The sequence below is a fragment of the Homo sapiens genome, chromosome 2, assembly GCF_000001405.40.
Source record: "Homo sapiens chromosome 2, GRCh38.p14 Primary Assembly".
NCBI lineage: Eukaryota > Metazoa > Chordata > Mammalia > Primates > Hominidae > Homo > Homo sapiens.
This window is the reverse complement of record NC_000002.12, coordinates 32421790-32438989: the sequence shown is the minus strand read 5'-3', so window position 1 is coordinate 32438989 and position 17200 is coordinate 32421790. Positions and strand designations below refer to the sequence as shown.

The 17200-nt window shown below is 37.3% G+C and overlaps 1 protein-coding gene across 50 annotated transcripts in view, besides 1 other annotated feature; it reads right to left on the bottom strand.

The window, feature by feature from the left end:
* The window catches only part of BIRC6 (baculoviral IAP repeat containing 6), a 261856-nt gene that overhangs the window by 179889 nt on the left and 64767 nt on the right, over positions 1–17200 (bottom strand). For 22 of the 50 annotated variants that reach the window (XM_006712055.4, XM_005264451.5, XM_047445167.1 and 19 more), the window contains exons 11-15: positions 9695–9844; positions 7900–8125; positions 5186–5346; positions 3405–3536; positions 2806–2937 (exon numbers count right to left, since the gene is read on the bottom strand). In XM_006712055.4, coding sequence (XP_006712118.1) covers positions 2806–2937; positions 3405–3536; positions 5186–5346; positions 7900–8125; positions 9695–9844 — 801 coding nt within the window. The remainder of the gene's footprint in view (positions 1–2805; positions 2938–3404; positions 3537–5185; positions 5347–7899; positions 8126–9694; positions 9845–17200) is intronic. The other 28 variants (XM_005264452.5, XM_005264453.5, XM_047445163.1 and 25 more) reach the window with 2 other exon arrangements.
* Positions 1770–1995: a silencer, noted in NCBI's record as "fragment chr2:32662063-32662288 (GRCh37/hg19 assembly coordinates)". NCBI's record gives its function as "represses an EF-1alpha promoter that drives an FKBP-Casp9 reporter gene in an ReSE screen in K562 erythroleukemia cells {active_cell/tissue: K562}" and the evidence as "EXISTENCE:reporter gene assay evidence [ECO:0000049][PMID:32094911]".

Genomic DNA, 17200 nt, shown 5'->3' with positions numbered 1-17200 from the left:
ATTAGGCACATGACAAATTATCCTCTCTGTGGCTCAGTTTCTTCTAATGTAAAATAAGAGTAATATTTCCTACCTCAGAGTCAACTAAACCACTGTTAACTGTGCTTGGCACAAAGAAAGCACTCAAATAGGCCGGGCGCAGTGGCTCACGCCTGTAATCCCAGCACTTTGGGAGGGTGAGGCAGGCAGATCACAAGGTCAGGAGATCGAGACCATCCTGGCTAACACAGTGAAACCCCGTCTACTACAAATACAAAAAAAAATTAGTGGGGCGTGGTGGCGGGCGCCTGTAGTCCCAACTACTCAGGAGGCTGAGGCAGGAGAATGGCGTGAACCCAGGAGGCGGAGCTTGCCGTGAGCCAAGATGGCACCACTGCACTCCAGCCTGGGCGACAGAGCAAGACTCCGTCTCAAAAAAAAAAAAAAAAAAAGAACACTCAAATAATTATTATCACTAGTATGTGATATTAACCAAATTGGGATCATACTATACAATCTATATATAAAATACATTTCTTAATTATCATTAAATTACTACATCTGCCAGCAAACTATCAGTCTATTGTTGCATTACCAGGTATTAAATCTTTCATGATTATAAATGCTATCACTCTACTTAGCTACCTGCCTGCTGTGCTAGCACTACACTGTTACATTTTTCTTAACACTACTGTACTATTCTCTGTGTTGTGGTATCTGACATTCTGTTTCAAAATTTCTTTGGCCAATGTTACCCCTTTACTCGTCCAAAAAAACTTAGCACTTATCTTATTCAGTTTCAAAGATGCTGGGGAGAATTTTATGGAAAAAAATATCTTAGTATATTCTAAGAAAATTAATACTTTCCAAACACATGCCATGTAATTCTACACTCCATTTTGTCAAAATCAGTATTTTTGACCAGACGTGGTGGCTCACACCTGTAATCCTAGCACTTTGGGAGGCCAAGGTAGGAGGATCCCTTGAGCCCAGGAGTTGGAGACCAGCCTGGGCAACACAGGGAGACTGTGTCTCTAAAAAATAAAAAATTTTTAAAAACACCAATATTTCTATTTCCACCTAAAAATTTAAGATGCACACTCTCATTGAACAAAACCTATAATCTAAACAATTTGAGATTAGTTTTTGTTCACTACTGTATCCCAGCATGAAACCTAACACATAACATCTCGAAAACCTAATGACAATAAGAAAGCACAAAACTTGCATATATACAGGCTGAGTATCCCTAATCTGAAAATCCAAAATGCTCTAAAATGCAAAACTCTTTGAGAGCCGATATGATGCTAAAAGGAAATGCTCATTGGAACATTTCATATTTTGGATTTTTGGATTAGGAATACTGAACTAGTTAAGTATATCACAAATATTCCAAAACCAGAAAAGAATCTGAAATCTGAAACACTTCTGGTCCCAAGCATTTCAGATAAGGGATACTTGACCTGTACTATGTCTGCAATTAAATGGTTATGTGTGAATGTGGACAAACATTAGGAAGCAAATGTACACAAATGTAAATAGCTGATATATAGTTGGTCAGTTATTTTCTTGGGTTGGAGAAGGATCTCTACATCCCACCCCACCCCAAATTTCTTTAACAATTGAACTAGTCATTTTGTGTTGGTTTTTTTTATTTACCCCCAGAATACAAAAGCTGAAAACGTCCTACCACTGATATTTCTAAATTATCAACATGATAGCCCATTATCTCAAAACATTCATTATAATCTGCATTTGTTTATGACACTCAAATCATTGTATATGATACTGGCGAAGCTCTTCTAATAAAAATCCTCTTTTGGCCTGGAGCGGTGGCTTACGTCTGCAATCCTAACACTTTGGGGGACCGAGGCAGGCAGAGTGGCTGGGCTCAAGAGTTCCACATCACCCTGGGCGACATGATGAAACCCCGCCTCCACTAATACAATAAAAAATTAGCCAGGCATTGTGGCACACGCCTGTAGTCCCAGCTACTCAGAAGGCTAAGGCACGAGAACTGCTTGAGCCTGGGAGGCGGGTGTTGCAGCAAGCTGAGATAACAGAACTGCACTCCAACCTGGGTAACAGAGCAAAACTCTGTCTCAAAAAAAAAAAAAAAAAAAAGAAAAAACAAAAAAAACCTCTCTTGGCCAGGTGCGGTGCTGACGCCTGTAATCCCAACACTTTGGGAGGCCAAGGTGGGCAGATGATTTGAGGTCAGGAGTTCCAGACCAGCTTGGCCAACATGGTGAAACCCCATCTCTACTAAAACTACAAAAATTATCTGGGCGTAATCCCTGCTACTTGGGAGGCTGAGGCAAGAGAATCACTTGAACCTAGGAGGCGGAGGTTTCAGTGAGCAAAGATAGCGCCACTACACTCCAGCCTGGGTGACAGAATGAGACTGTCTCAAAAAAACAAAAACAAACAAACAAAATACCTCTTTTAAGGGAAGATACTGTAATAATATATAATAAAACTCTGAAGAGACGGGACTCTGATGTGATGGGAAGGGTAAAAATGGCAGAACATTATGTCTGCTTACTCAAAAGAGCTCTGTTATGTCACACTAAGTCATCCTGTAGTCATTTCTTCAACGTTTTTTCAAAAAGCACTGAGACCTCTTAAGACACAAAAAGTAGGATCAGATAACCATACAGTTAGTTACTTTATGACAGGAAATGACCTCAGCTACCAGAAAACTGATGAAATTTCGAACGAAAGTCCCAAAGAAAACAATCTTATTTTTTTTGAGATCAGTTTTTTTTCGTCTTTTTTACAACTGTGGTATTATTAATTCTGCTTTTGTAAAATGTATTACTTCACCTTTAACAAGTTTGGGGCTTGTTAACGTCAACATTCCAGCATGCCCTGATAGATCAAGGCCACTAGCAAGCCATACTGGCCCACATAGAATGTCTTCTTTATGATCCTCCAAAAATGGACATAATCTAAGACCTAAAAAGAAAAATACATATTTTTCTTTTAAATTCATTCATTTAAAATGTAATATTTAATAAGCAAATATCATCCCATTTACATATAATACCACCACACAAAATATCATACTTAGAATGTGTTAAAATAAGAATTGTCATGCTAAGGAACTATAATCAATTATTTGTTATGTTGCTTTCCATTCCCATATTATTTTACAGTTCACCTTTATTTTCAAAAAAATTATAAACCACGACTTGATTTCAAATCCCAAGGTATTAAAAACCAAGAATGCATTAGCGCAGCTGTGGTCACAAAAGATGAGCTGAAAGTTAAAGCATATTGCCAAAGCAGAATTATAGGTTATTTTTTAATTGTGTTCTTGAAACCAAGTTTTTGCAAGCCATAAGGAAATCTTGCCCGACATGTTGCATTCAGATCACTACTCCTTTTACTGTCATGGACAACAGCTCTATAATTTAACTCACACTGTGATTCCTCTACATCCATGTGCTGCATTTCTTCATTCAAATCAACCAGGGACGGTTTCCCATTTTGTTCCACTTCAATGTTAAGAGCTGGAGACAAAGGAAAGGTGATCTGCCTATCTACTGCTGTTTCTAGAGGATAAAAATATTAGTAAACTTAATTTTCTTTAATATCAATGATTTATGTGCCTGAAAAATCTAAAATTTCCTGTTAACTTGGGAACTTCTGTGATTTTCATCACAGATGCTATAAAATGATTGGAGGAAAATTTTGATTCAATTGTTTTATACATTCTTCTCTCTTTTAACGGTAATAAAATATTTGCCTAAAGAAACAATCTGCTGGCAACTAAACTAAAAGTTCTTACCCTAGGCTGCCTGGTACAAGCACTTGCAGAGCTTTGAAACTACCAAATCCTGAGTCCTCCACCCAATTAATTCAAAATCTGTCAAAAGACTGCACACATATGAACATATCCATATACACACAGACTCACATAAATATACAGACACACATATAGTCATCCATCCCTCAGTATCTGTGGGGGATTAGTTCCAGGACCCCCACAGATGTCAAAATCCACAGATGTTCCAGTCCCTTATATAAAATGGCATAATATTTGTATATAACCTTATTCATATCCTCCCGTATACTTTTAATCATCTTTAGTTTACTAATAAAACCTAATACAATGTGAATGCCATGCAAATACTATTTATTTATTTCAGACAGAGTCTCACTCTGTCACCTAGGCTGGAGTGCAGTGGTGCAGTCATAGCTCACTGTAACCTCCAAATCCTGGGCTCAAGTGATCCTCCTGCCTCAGCCTCATGAGTACTGCCACCTGAGTAGCACCACAGGTGTGCACCACTACACCCAGCTAATTTTTTTAAAAAAATTTTGTAGACATGTGCTTGCTATACTTCCCAGGCTGGTCTCAAATTCCTGGGCTAAAGTGATCCTCCTGCCTTGGCCTCTCAAAATGCTGGGATTATAGGCATGAGCCACCACATGTGGTCTAATACTATTTTTTATTTGTATATTTTCTTACTGTCGTAATTTTTTTTATTTTTTCCCCCCCAAAGTATTTTCAATCCACGATTGGTTGTTTCTGAGGTTGGTTGACTCCTGGGATGTGAAACCCACAGATAGAGAGTGCCAGGCGTATATGTAATTTTTCAAAAAGGAAAATTTTCAAGTTTCAATGTTTGAAACTGGGGTTAAGTTGCCATTTTACCGTGAAATTATCCCCAGCCTCTTAAACTAACTTATTAAGGAGAAAACACTCAGTAGTAACATCTAGTTTCTAACCATGCTAAATGTGTATAATCTACTTTAATAACTCAATGCAACAAATTCTGAACTTGTAAGAAAGATAAAAATGAGTGTATTTTTAGCATTACATGAAAGGCTGGCTTCACTAATAACCTTAAAAGTAACTTCCATAACAGTTCTATTCACAATTAAGTCTTCTCCTAGGAAAAGAAATACATAAAGCTAGTAATGCTAAAAGTCAAACTAATTTACAAAGGAACTAATCTCACTTCCAAAAAAGTATAATTATATGATTCAAGTTTATGCAATTCTGAACATTACTGGGTTACTGAAAAGTTCTGAAATGTTCTCTGAATTACTTTTTTAAATAAAATCACAAAAAGTAAAGCAGGCAAATGGCAACAAGGGACAGAAAGGGACACGAAACTTAGCCAAGGTGAAAATTAGTTTTCAGAAATCAACCACAAAATAAAATCTTCAAAGATAAATTTTGATACATTCTTACCATTGACTTTCCCTAATCCTGGAGCTTTATTTTTCAGCAGTGTCACTTGTATCTGTGGAATATTGGTGATGTTTGAGTTCAAAACGAATTTGAAGTCCACATGTCCAACCATACAAGCTTTAGGTAGTACTAATTCAAATACATGTTCATCCCAGCTGTTGCTGTCAAATAAGGGGAAAAATGCTAAATAAAGCAAAAATCTTTCTTCAGCCACAACCATATTATCATTAAGGTCACCTTTCCTACTTTTTGCTTTGCAGCTTCCAACAAAATCTAGTGTTTCTCAATGGGATCAAGAGAGAAAATAGCTCCCAATGGAGAAGGTTAAACAAAGGGCAATGAATAATCTTACTTTAGAAATCTACACCTGCCTTGAGACTTGCATATACCAATACATTCTTATTCCTCAAAGTGTGAACAATTTAATGTGAATTACGTGCAAATTCCTGGTACCCACCCTAGATCTATGAGTAGGGTCCCAGAATCTTCATTTCAAAACAACAATTTATTGTATTTCTTATATATATTCATTCTTGGGTTTTAAATGCTATATATATGCTGGAAAATGAAAATCTCCAAACTCCTCCACTAAATTTAAGGCTCATATCCAAATGTCTACTAGACATCTCAAACTCATTATGAAAAAACCCACTTCCAAATCTCAGTAAACAGAAACTTCATTTTTCAGTGAACTCAGGCCAAAACCTGAAAGCTATCCTTTATTCTCCCCTGTCACACAATATGTTCAATACATCAGCAAATTCTATTCCTTGTACCTCCAAATTATATCCAGAATCTAACGACTCTTTTCACTACCTCCATCACTATCACAATGGTCCAAGCTACCATCAGCATTCCTGAATCAGCACAACAGCAACCAAACTAAAACCAATCTATCACTGCCCTCCCCACCACAACCATCATTCTAAATACAGAAGTCAAAGTAATCTTTGTAAAATATAAATTATACCACATCACTCCTGTATTCAAACCTGCTAACACTTTCCCATCTCACGTAGCATGAAAGTTTTTTTTTTTTTTTTCCGAAATGGGGTCTCACTCTGTCACCCAGGCCAGAGTACAGTGGCACAATCACGGCTCACTACAGCCTCAACCGCCTGGGCTCAAGTGATTCTCCCACCTCAGTTTCCCAAGTATCTGGGACCACAGGCACATACCACCATGTCCAGCTAAATTTTTTTTTATTATTTATAGAGACGAGGTCTCCCTATATTGCCCAGGTGGGTCTTGAACACCTGGGCTCAAGTGATCCTCCTGCGTCAGTCTCCCAAAATGCTAGGATTACAGATGTGAGCCACCATGCCTGACCTTTTATAAAGGCATTCATGATCCAGCTCCCAGGTACCTCTACCTCTGTTTTTCTTCTTGAGATGGAGTCTCACTCTGTAGCCCAGGCTGGAGTGCAGTGGGGCGTAATCTTGGCTTACTGCAGCCTCCGCCTCCCAGGATCAAGCAATTCTCTGCCTCAGCCTCCTGAGTAGCTGGGATTACAGGTGTGCACCACCACACCCAGCTACTTTTTGTATTTTTAGTAGAGACAGCGTTTCACCATATTGGCCAGGCTGGTCTTAAACTCCTGGCCTCAACTGATTTACCTGCCTTGGCTTCCCAAAGTGCTGGGATTACAGGTTTGAGCGACCATGCCTGGCACCCAGCTACCTCTTTGGATCTCCCTCCCTACCACTCTCCCTTATATTCACAGCACTCCAACAACAATGGTCATATTTCTTTTCCTAGAACTCACAAAATATAGTCCTCAGGGTTCTGTATTGCTATTATCATGGAAGCCTTTCTTAGGTCCCTTATATTGAAAATACCATACACATTGTCTCTCTTTTTCTCTCACTCTCTCACTCTTACATGCAATTTCCTATCCAACTACTACTCTATTGCCATACTCTGTTTTAACATTCTTCATAGCTTTTATGCCCATATGGCATGGTATATGTATCTGTTTACTTTCTATTGCCATTAGGAGGCAAATTCCATGAGACCCACATTACTAGTGACTATAAGAGTGCCTGCTTTTATTAAATACAAAACAAGCATTTGAGTATTTGTTAAATAAATCTGTGGACTAAGTGACCAAACTAATTGCAGTAGTAAATTACTCTCATTATTTTATCCTAAAATTAAGAATAAGAATATAACAATTTCCAAAAGCAATATGACAAATAGAAGGAACAAAGTCATCAACATGCAAAAATTAGCTTATATATTTGTTAGAGACAACACAGAATTCCTAAGTATATTACTGTATATCTTTTAGACAGTTTAAAACACAAACAGGCCAGGCATGGTGGCTCATGCCCATAATCCCAGCACTTCGGGAGGCCGAGGTAGGTGGATCACCTGAGATCAGGAGTTCGGGACCAGCATGGCCAACAGAGTGAAACCCCATCTCTACCTAAAATACAAAAATTAGCCGGACGTGGTGATGCGCACCTGTAGTCCCAGCTACTTGAGAGGCTGAGGCAGGAGAATCACTTGAACCCAGGAGGCAGTGGTTGCAGTGAGCCGAGATTGCGCCACTGCACTCCAGCCTGGGTGACAGAGTGAGACTCTGTCTCAAAAAAAAAAAAAAAAAAAAAAAAAAAAAAAAGATAAACAGTAATATACCTAGGAATTCTACGTTGTCTCTGACAAATACACAAGATGGACTTAAAATTAATTATCTTGGGAATATCTTTTACCTGTCGGTCTGTAGTTTCCAAGTTCGAGTATGCTGAGCAGCATCACCATGGTGTTGCTGATGCAAATGTTGAGGATGCCTCCTTTGCTGCTGTTCTTGTTGAACTTCTACCCAGCATGGAGGAACAGTCGCTGAAAACCTTGGAGTCAAAGTCTCAAAGCGGGTTAGCTCCACTAGGGATGTCAAGATTTCAAGGGTGAATGGCTGGTCCACCAATAAATCAACTCCTTAACATTAGTGAGAGCAGTATTTGAAATAGGTGTGGAAAAAAAAAAAAAAAAAAAAAGAAGACAATGAAGTGAAGTTTTAATTCATGGGTAGGTTTTCTATTGCAACACTTGCCAAATATTCTGAAAGTTAATAAAGTGGGCTCAGGTATCTATATATAACTAAGATAACTAACTCTGGCTAAAAAATAGCAAAGAAGAAAATTCTAACTTAAATATTTAAAATTAGAGACAATACTCGCTATTGAAGAAACCCAAACCCAACCTGTTAGAAAAGGGCTTACTGAACTTTAGCCCTAATAAGGATGGCAAGAAAAGCAGTGGTACTAAAGTGCAAGCCAATGTACATCAGACCAATAATTAACTTTTAGACCCTATTTTTTAAAAAATAAAATGCTAGACATCAAGCAAGTACATAACATATGAATAAAACACTAAAACAGTCAAAAGCTATGTGGTAAAGAAATACTTACAAACTGAAAAATTAAATTGTTTTTTCTATTTCTGTGGCAGTTAAGAAAATCTTGCATACATGCTAGTATTATAAGAGTAATAACGTGCTTCATACTAATTAGGCTTCTTTACAAATGCTATACATGTATTCACATCAGTGAAATGTATAACATTAAAAAATGCTAAGCCATTGTTCCCATTTTAAAAAATTAATAAAATACTAAAATATAAAATCTGGTAGGTTTAGAGTATTTTCACAATAAAAAAATGACAGCAAGTTCTATAAAATTATTACAAGTTTAATTCAAATTACATCTTTTTCTCAAAGTCTAGACCCTTTTAAATCTGCTTAGTTTGTAAATATTAACAGCATGTCAATCTTCTTTCTTTCCATTATTTATTTCTTCATTACAAAATTCATCTTTCCTCTACTAAAAAGCATTTTTCTGTACTTTATAAAAAATCTTCTCCATTCAACCAATAACCTATAAAATATGAGAATATTCAGTATTTTAGCTTTTTATACCAAGTTGTATACTTAACCAAGACACCTTGGTTAACTCAAGTAACTGGAGATTGAGAAGCAGGCTACTATGATTTCATAAAAGTCTACAAGGCAAATAATGATTTTTTGGCAGGGAGTAGCATGCTAGCAAAACTTCTTTTGAAAAATTAGCTCTGGAGGGCAATGTGGGTCAAGGATGGGAGAAAAAAGGCAAAAACAACAAACAAATATAAACAAACCTATCGAGAGATTCAGGATGGGGCAACGTATGTGTGAATATACCACCTAAATATATCCTCAGTGACAGTATTTTTTTTTCACCTTTTCAATTCCAGTAGTAATATTAATAATATGAGCCAGTCTACTAATTTTATTCTTACTTAATGAATTCTCTTTTATATGATTTTTCCCTCCTCTAATTAGACTAAAAGCTCATTAATGGCTGAAATGTTTGTTTTAACCTCTTAGATGACTTCACAAATATTGAGTAACATACCATACAGGTTGAGAATCACTTCTTACTTTAATATGTTTACATCTTCCAACAACTAGAAAAATGATAAATACTACCTATTCTTTTTTTAAAATCATTTAAAAATTTAATATCATACCTGAAATGCCAGGACTTGAAGGATTTGATAAAGGTTTGGAACCTTCTGAAGATGGTTCTATTCCTTTAGAAAGAGATCCATCCACTAGTATATCAGCTTCATCAATATCATCACAGGTTCCTCCAATTTGGAGAAAATGAAGCTCACCACCTACAGTGTAGTAAATTTCATAGATACATGAAAAATAGGTAAACATTCAAATATTCAAATGTAATACTACTTAGGAAACAACTGAATGTCACTTCATAGGCAGATAAGGAAAGCTACCAATGTGATGTATTTCCAAGAGTTTAGAAATTTAATTGCCAAGGAATTACAAATTGAAACCAAATTTTTATGAAGAAAATGATAAATACATAAACATACATGAAAACAGGTATTTATCTAGTATTTACTTTTATGAGACAGTATTTTAAGTGCTTTAATTAATTCATTTACTTTTTACCAAAAACCCTTGTGGTAGAACTATTACTGTGGCCATTTTACAGATGAGGCACTAGCTATACTGGAATCCACAGCCAGATCTCTTAATCTCAACAATAACAAAACTTAACAAATACTCTTATTTTTTAAAGCATTCACAATGAAATGAAGGCAACTCAAATTTCTAGTTTAAAATCTCTGTCACAGGAAAAAAACTGACAGCAAATTTAGCTTTAATTAAGACAAAAAAATTAATGGGTAATAGTATATTCTAACATTCTAATTTGGAGATTCACTTCCAGCATAGCAGAAGAAGGAAGATGATAAATCCCCTTCCTGAAAGGCAACTATAAAGCTAGACAAAACTGTAATTTAACGAGGGTGAGGTAAGCAGTGAAAACCAGCACATTCACTGCTATCTCCAGATGGGACTTGATTGATGGAGAGCGTCCAGTTTAAACAGGTGATTTCAATGGGAAACAAACAAGGAGATCTGCTACTTGAGGTCACAATTCTGTGTGGGGCAAGCAAAGCACTGGAAACACCAGGGATTTAACACAGAATTACATGTAGTGAGAGAAGCACAGGGGGCCTGGTAAACTCTCCACAAATCCCACCTTGATCAGAGGCTGTGCACGTGTCCAGCAAAGACCAGAGGGAGCCGAAGCCATTATTACATCCTCAGTCAACTAAGCCTCTATGCCTATGCAAAAGAGACCTGAGAAAGCACAACAGAAAATAAAAGCCAGGGCACACTTGAGCACAGCCTTACTGGCTAAAGGTATTTGGACACCAAACCTATCAATCTTTGGCTGAATACTAAGCTCTGCTGCCCCAAAAGAAACAAAATAAGAAACAAGTCTTAAAAATTAAAACTAGGCAGAATAAATGACAGAAATCAGCAGCTGCACAATACAGAAGAGATTTTACAGATTCAGATTTCACAGATTCAACAGTTTGTTTGTTTTCACAAAACAAACAAAGCAACAACCACCTGGCAAAAGGTAGGGAGATACGAATCCAGATTGCTATAGTGTTGTTTTAAATGTCCAGTAAATAAATAAAACATTACAAGACATGCAAAGAAAGAGGGACCCACATTCAAGATGTAAAACACACACACACACACACACCTGAAAATGTCTTCTCGGACTTCAGATTTAGCAAAGAATTCAAGGATCTATTGTAAATATTTTTATAGAATAAGAGGAAACCAGGGGTATAGAGATTACAGGAAATAATGGTATAAACGACTCAACAAACAAAAATATTTTTAAAAAAATTAAAGGCCAGGAGCAGTGGCTCACGCCTGTTATCCCAGCACCTTGGGAGACGGAGGCGGGCGGATCACCTGAGGTCAGGAGTTCGATACCAGCCTGGCCAACATGGTGAAACCCCATCTCTACTAAAAATACAAAAATTAGACAGGCGTGGTGGCAGGCGCCTGTAATCCCCTGAGCTACTCAGGAGGCTGAGGAAGGAGAATCGCTTGAACCCGGGAGGCAGAGGTTGCAGTGAGCTGAGATAGCGCCACTGCACTCCAGCCTGGGCGACAAGAGCAAGACTTTGTCTCAAAAAAAAAATAAAATAAAATAAAAATTAAAAGAAGCTTGGAGACCTACAGGACAGATAAAATATTAAGAACATACATGTAATGGGAATTCCATGAAGAAGAGAATTCCACCTGAAAAAATAATGGGCAAAAACTTACCAAATCTGATAGAAAACCACAAATTCACTCAAGTTCAATGACCCTCAAATAGGATAAACACAAAGAAATAACACATATATATATAAGCTCTTGAGAGTCAAAGGCAAAGGGAACATCATGAAGACAGCAAGATAAAAATTATTCATCAGACATGAAAACAACAGCACAAATTAACAGATCACTATGAGAAACAATGGAGACCAGAGGCAATGGAATGACATTTAAAGTACAGAAAGAAACTGTCAACAGATTCTCTATGTAGCATTAATCCTCAAAAATGAATGTGAGATGAACACATTTCCAGAAAAACAAAGACTGAGAGAACTTTATGCTAGCAACCTGCCTTATGATAAGTAACAAAGAAAGCCCCAAAGAAAGCCCCTTTAAGAGGAAGGAAAGCAACATCAAATTCACTGAAAAAATAAAGAACAGAAATGGTAAGTAGGTGAATATAATAAATAAATGTTTTTCTCATTTCTTTGCCAACTTTTTAAAAAGATAATGGTTGTATAAAATAATTGTAACATGTTTTGTTGGGTTTTGTTTGTTTTTTGTTTTGAGACGGAGTCTCGCTCTGTTGCCCAGGCTGGAGTACAATGGTGTGATCTCAGCTCACTGCAACCTCCGCCTCCTGGGTTCAAGTGATTCTCCCTGCCTCAGCCTCCTGAGTAGTTGGGATTACAGGTGCCCACCACCACACCCGGCTAATTTTTGTATTTTTAGTAGAGACAGGGTTTTGCCATGTTGGCCAGGCTGGTCTTGAACTCCTGACCTTAGGTGATCTGCCCGCCTTGACCTCCCAAAGTGCTGGGATTACAGGCGTAAGCCACCACACCCGGCCATTCTGTTGGGTTTATAACATACTTAAATGTAATGTATGGGGTGGGGAGAGACAAGAGCAAAGTTCCTACATATTTTACTAGAATAAAGTATTATTCTGAAGTAGATTGTATTATTAATTAAACCACCAAAATATAACTCAAAAAAAAGTAGTATCAGAAAAAGAAACCAGAATCAACACGGGGACCAGTGATTTCATGCCAAATGGCAGAGTAGGAAGCTCTAGGGATCAGTCCCTCCACCAAAGCAACCACTCAACTAGAAAGTATGATTGGAATCAACTATTTCAGAACTATGGGACCTAACAGGATATCTACAATAAACAGAGGAGACTGATTTCTGGTAAGAGGGTGGCCTAAATGAACCAGCTACCCCTCCATACTCAGCCCTGACACAGCTGTGGGGGAAAGTGGCACATGTGCTGGAAGCAGCTGGCTGGTGCCAGGGCGGACAGGAGGGACCTTCTCTTCCCAATATATAGGGTTGTGCATTTTGGTTGGTCTAGCAGTTCCCTAAGGGACCAGAATAGACTCTTGCCTGGGTTTCACCCTTCTGAGACTGCAGCTGCTACTCCAAGCAGCAGCCACCAGAAGATTTAAGGGGACAAAGCCGAAACAGGATCTACAGGAAGATTTAAAGAGATAGAACTCTTTTTTGGAAGGATAAGAGTGGGGAGAGGGTTCTCTAGCCTTTGTACAAATAGTTTGAAAATGTCACAAATGGATGGCTGCAGCTGGAAACAAGCAAAATCTCCCAGAGTGAGAGAATAAGATTTCTAGAGGTACCACATTACAATACTCAGAAAGTTCTGACTACAACAAAAAATTACAAAGCACTCAAAGAAACAGCAAAGTATGGCCCATTTACAGGAGAAAAAAAAAAAAAAAGAATTACCAGAAAGCATACCTGAGAAAGCCCAGATATTGGAATTATTAGTCAAAAACGTTAAATGAATTCTCTTTATATAGCCAATTAGCTAAAGGGAACAATGGACAAAAACTAAAGAAAAACAGGAAAATGATGTATGAATGTAAGATTATCAACAAAAAGATAAACTGGACTTTTTCAAAATGCCAATGTTTTGTGCATCAAAGGACACTACCAAGAAAGTAAAAAGACAACCCACAGAATATGAGAAAGTAAGTATTTGCAAATCATATCTATTAAGATATGAATCCTGAATTTCTAAAAATGTTCCTACAACTCAATCAAAAAAAAAAAAATTCAAAAGTGGACAAGGACATGAATAGATATTTCTACGTCTATTATAGAAATACAAATCACCAATAAACACATGAAGAAATGCTCAACATCACTAATCATTAGGAAAGTGCAAACCAAAACCACAACAGATACCACTTCACAACCACTAGTTGTCAAAAAGACCAAAAATAACAAATGTTGGCCAGGATGTAGAAAAACTGGGACCCTTCCAAACTGCTTGTGGAAATGCAAAATGGTGCAGACTCTGTGGAAAATAACTTGGTGATTCTCAAAAGGTTAAACATAGGCCAGACGCGGTGGCTCACACCTGTAATCCCAGCACGTTGGGTGGGCGAGGTGGGAGGATCACCTGAGGTCAGGAGTTGGAGACCAGCATGGTCAACATGGCGAAATAGTGTCTCTACTAAAAATACAAAAAATAGCTGGGCGTGGTGGTGCGTGCCTAATCCCAGCTACTTGGGAGGCTGAGGCAGGAGACTCACTAGAGCCGGGGAGGCAAAGGTTGCAGTGAGCCGAGATCGCGTCAGTGCACTCCAGCCTGGGCAACAAGCGTGAAACTCCATCTCAAAAAAAAAAAAAGGGTTGAACATAGAATTACCATGTGACCCAACAATTCCACTCCTAGGTATATACCCAAAACAACTGAAAACGGGTACTCAAATATTTGTACACCAATGTTTATAGGGACATTATTCACAATAGCCAAAATGTGGAAACAACCCAAATGCTGAGTTACAATAGTCACCCCTTACAGTAGTCACAGTTCCAAGACCTCGCAGTGATGACTGAAACTGTGGATAGTATCAAACCCAATATGTATATATATTGTTTTTTCATATATATATATTCATATATATACACACACACATATGATAAATTTAATTTATAAATTAGGCACAGGAAGAGATGAACAACAACAAAATAGCACAATGATAGCAATATACTGTTCACAATTTCACAAACAGAAGATTTGTTCTTACCATAAATCTTAGAAATCTGCACATAAAATATTTTTCTTTCCAAGTCAAAAATTTCGCCTTTTCAACATAAAGAAAAAACTTCAAAACGGCTTCACTTTGGCATATCCCATAGCTAGCATTACCATTCTTGAACTTTAGGGCCATTATTAAGTAAAATGGTTACTTGAACACAAGCACTGCGATACCAGTGACAGACAATCTGATAACCAAGACAGCTACTAAGTGACTAACAGACAGGTAGTGTATACAGCATGGAGATGCTGGACAAAATGATGATTTGTGTCCTGGATGGGACAAGAAGAGATTTTTATCACACTACTCAGAATGGTGAGTAATTTAATAATTATCAATTGTTGATTTCTGAAATTTTCCATTTAATATTTCCAGACCAAAGCTGACCACAGATAACTGAAACCACAGATAAGGGGCAGGGATTGGGGGGGTGGATGGGCCCTACTGTAATGGAATATTATTTGGCATAAAAAGGAACCAAGATGTGATACATGGGTGAGCATTAAAAACATAAAAAATATGCTGAGTGAAAGAAACCAGACACAAAAGGACAAATACATGATTCCACTTATATGAGGTATCTACAATAAGCAAAGTCATACAGAAGTAGAATTGAGGTTACCAGCAGCGGAGGGTAGAATGAATGGGAAGTTACTGCTTAATGGTTACAGAGTTTTTGTTTAGGATGATGGGAAAGTTCTGGAAATCAGTACTGGTGGTTATACAACATTGTGAATGTATTACAGCCACTACATTACATGCTGTAAAACAGTTAAAATAGTAAACCTCATTATATATATTTAACACATTTTAAAAAGAAAAAAAAAATTATAACCCATGACCCAATAATTCTACTCTTAAGAACTGAGAGTCTCAGGCCGGGAACAGTGGGTCACGCCTGTAATCCCATCACTTTGGGAGGCCAAGGCGGGCGGAGCACTTAAGGTCAGGAGTTAGAGACCAGCCTGGCCAATATGGGGAAACCCCAACTGTTTTGTAAAAATACAAAAATTAGCCAGACGCCTGTAATCCCAGCTAACCTTGGGAGGCTGAGGCAGGAGAATCACTTGAACCCAGGAGGTGGAGGCTGCAGTGAGCTGAGATCGGCACCACTGCACTCCAGCCTTGGCAACAGAGCAAGACTCTGCCTCAAAAATAAAAAAATAGAGAGCCCCTTACATATGTGCACCAAGGAACTTACACAAGACGTTTATAGCAGAAAAAAACAGAAATAAACAAGATGTCCACTGACAGGAAAATGCATAAATTATTTGTGGGTTTTTTGCACATTGGAGTACTAAGTATAAGTGAAAATTAAATGATCTACAAGGCATGCAACAAAATGGGTAATCTTAAAACATAGTAAGAGAGGAAAATCAAGTCCCCCAAAACTAGTTAGAGTTTGGTATCATTCTTATAAAGGGCAAAAACAAGCAAAATCAATAAAATATGTTGAAATATTCACATCCAAAGCATAAAACCAGTTTTCTTTATAAAAGGAAAGACATAAAAATTATTGAGTAACAATTATCTGTAGGAAAAGGGCAGAGTTTGGGAGAGGGGAGGAGGGACACATTCATAGATGCAAGATATCCATACTGCTTTAGTTCTTGGTTTGACAGTAGGTCTCTGGGTGTCCCTAACAAATTATTCTTCACTAATGTTATGTAAATTTTCTTCTAAAAAAAAAATCAACAGAGGGATTAAAATGGCACACTAAAAATATTTATTCAACACAAAAGAATGCAGTGAAGGAGTAACAAAGGAATGTAAAGAACATTTTAAAAACTCAAAATGGCAGACATAAATGCAACCATAGCAATAATTACCTTAAGCGTAAAGTCATTCAAATTTAAAAGGTACAGGTTATCCAACTGTATAAAAAAGCAAGACCTAATTATATGCATCTAAGAGACCCACTTCAGATTCAAAATCACAAGTTAGTTGAAAGTAAAATTGTGGAAAAGATACATAATACAAACTGTAACCATAAGAAAACCAGAGTGATTTTATTAGTATGACACAAAATAGAGACAGAGGAATATTTCATAATGACAAAAGAACCAATACATCAGAACGATGTAACAATTATGAAACAGTCTAACAAAAGAGCCAAAAGTCAAGTGAAGCAAAAACAGACTTAAAAGTGAACAATTCAACAAAAACATAGTTAGGGATTTCAATACTTGCTCTCAAAATTGATAGAAGAAGGCTCAATATAAAATCAGGAAGACTTCAACAACTAAAAAACATACACGTATACAAGTGAAATTTATACGACACTCTACCCCATGGGTGCCCAACACAAATTCTTTT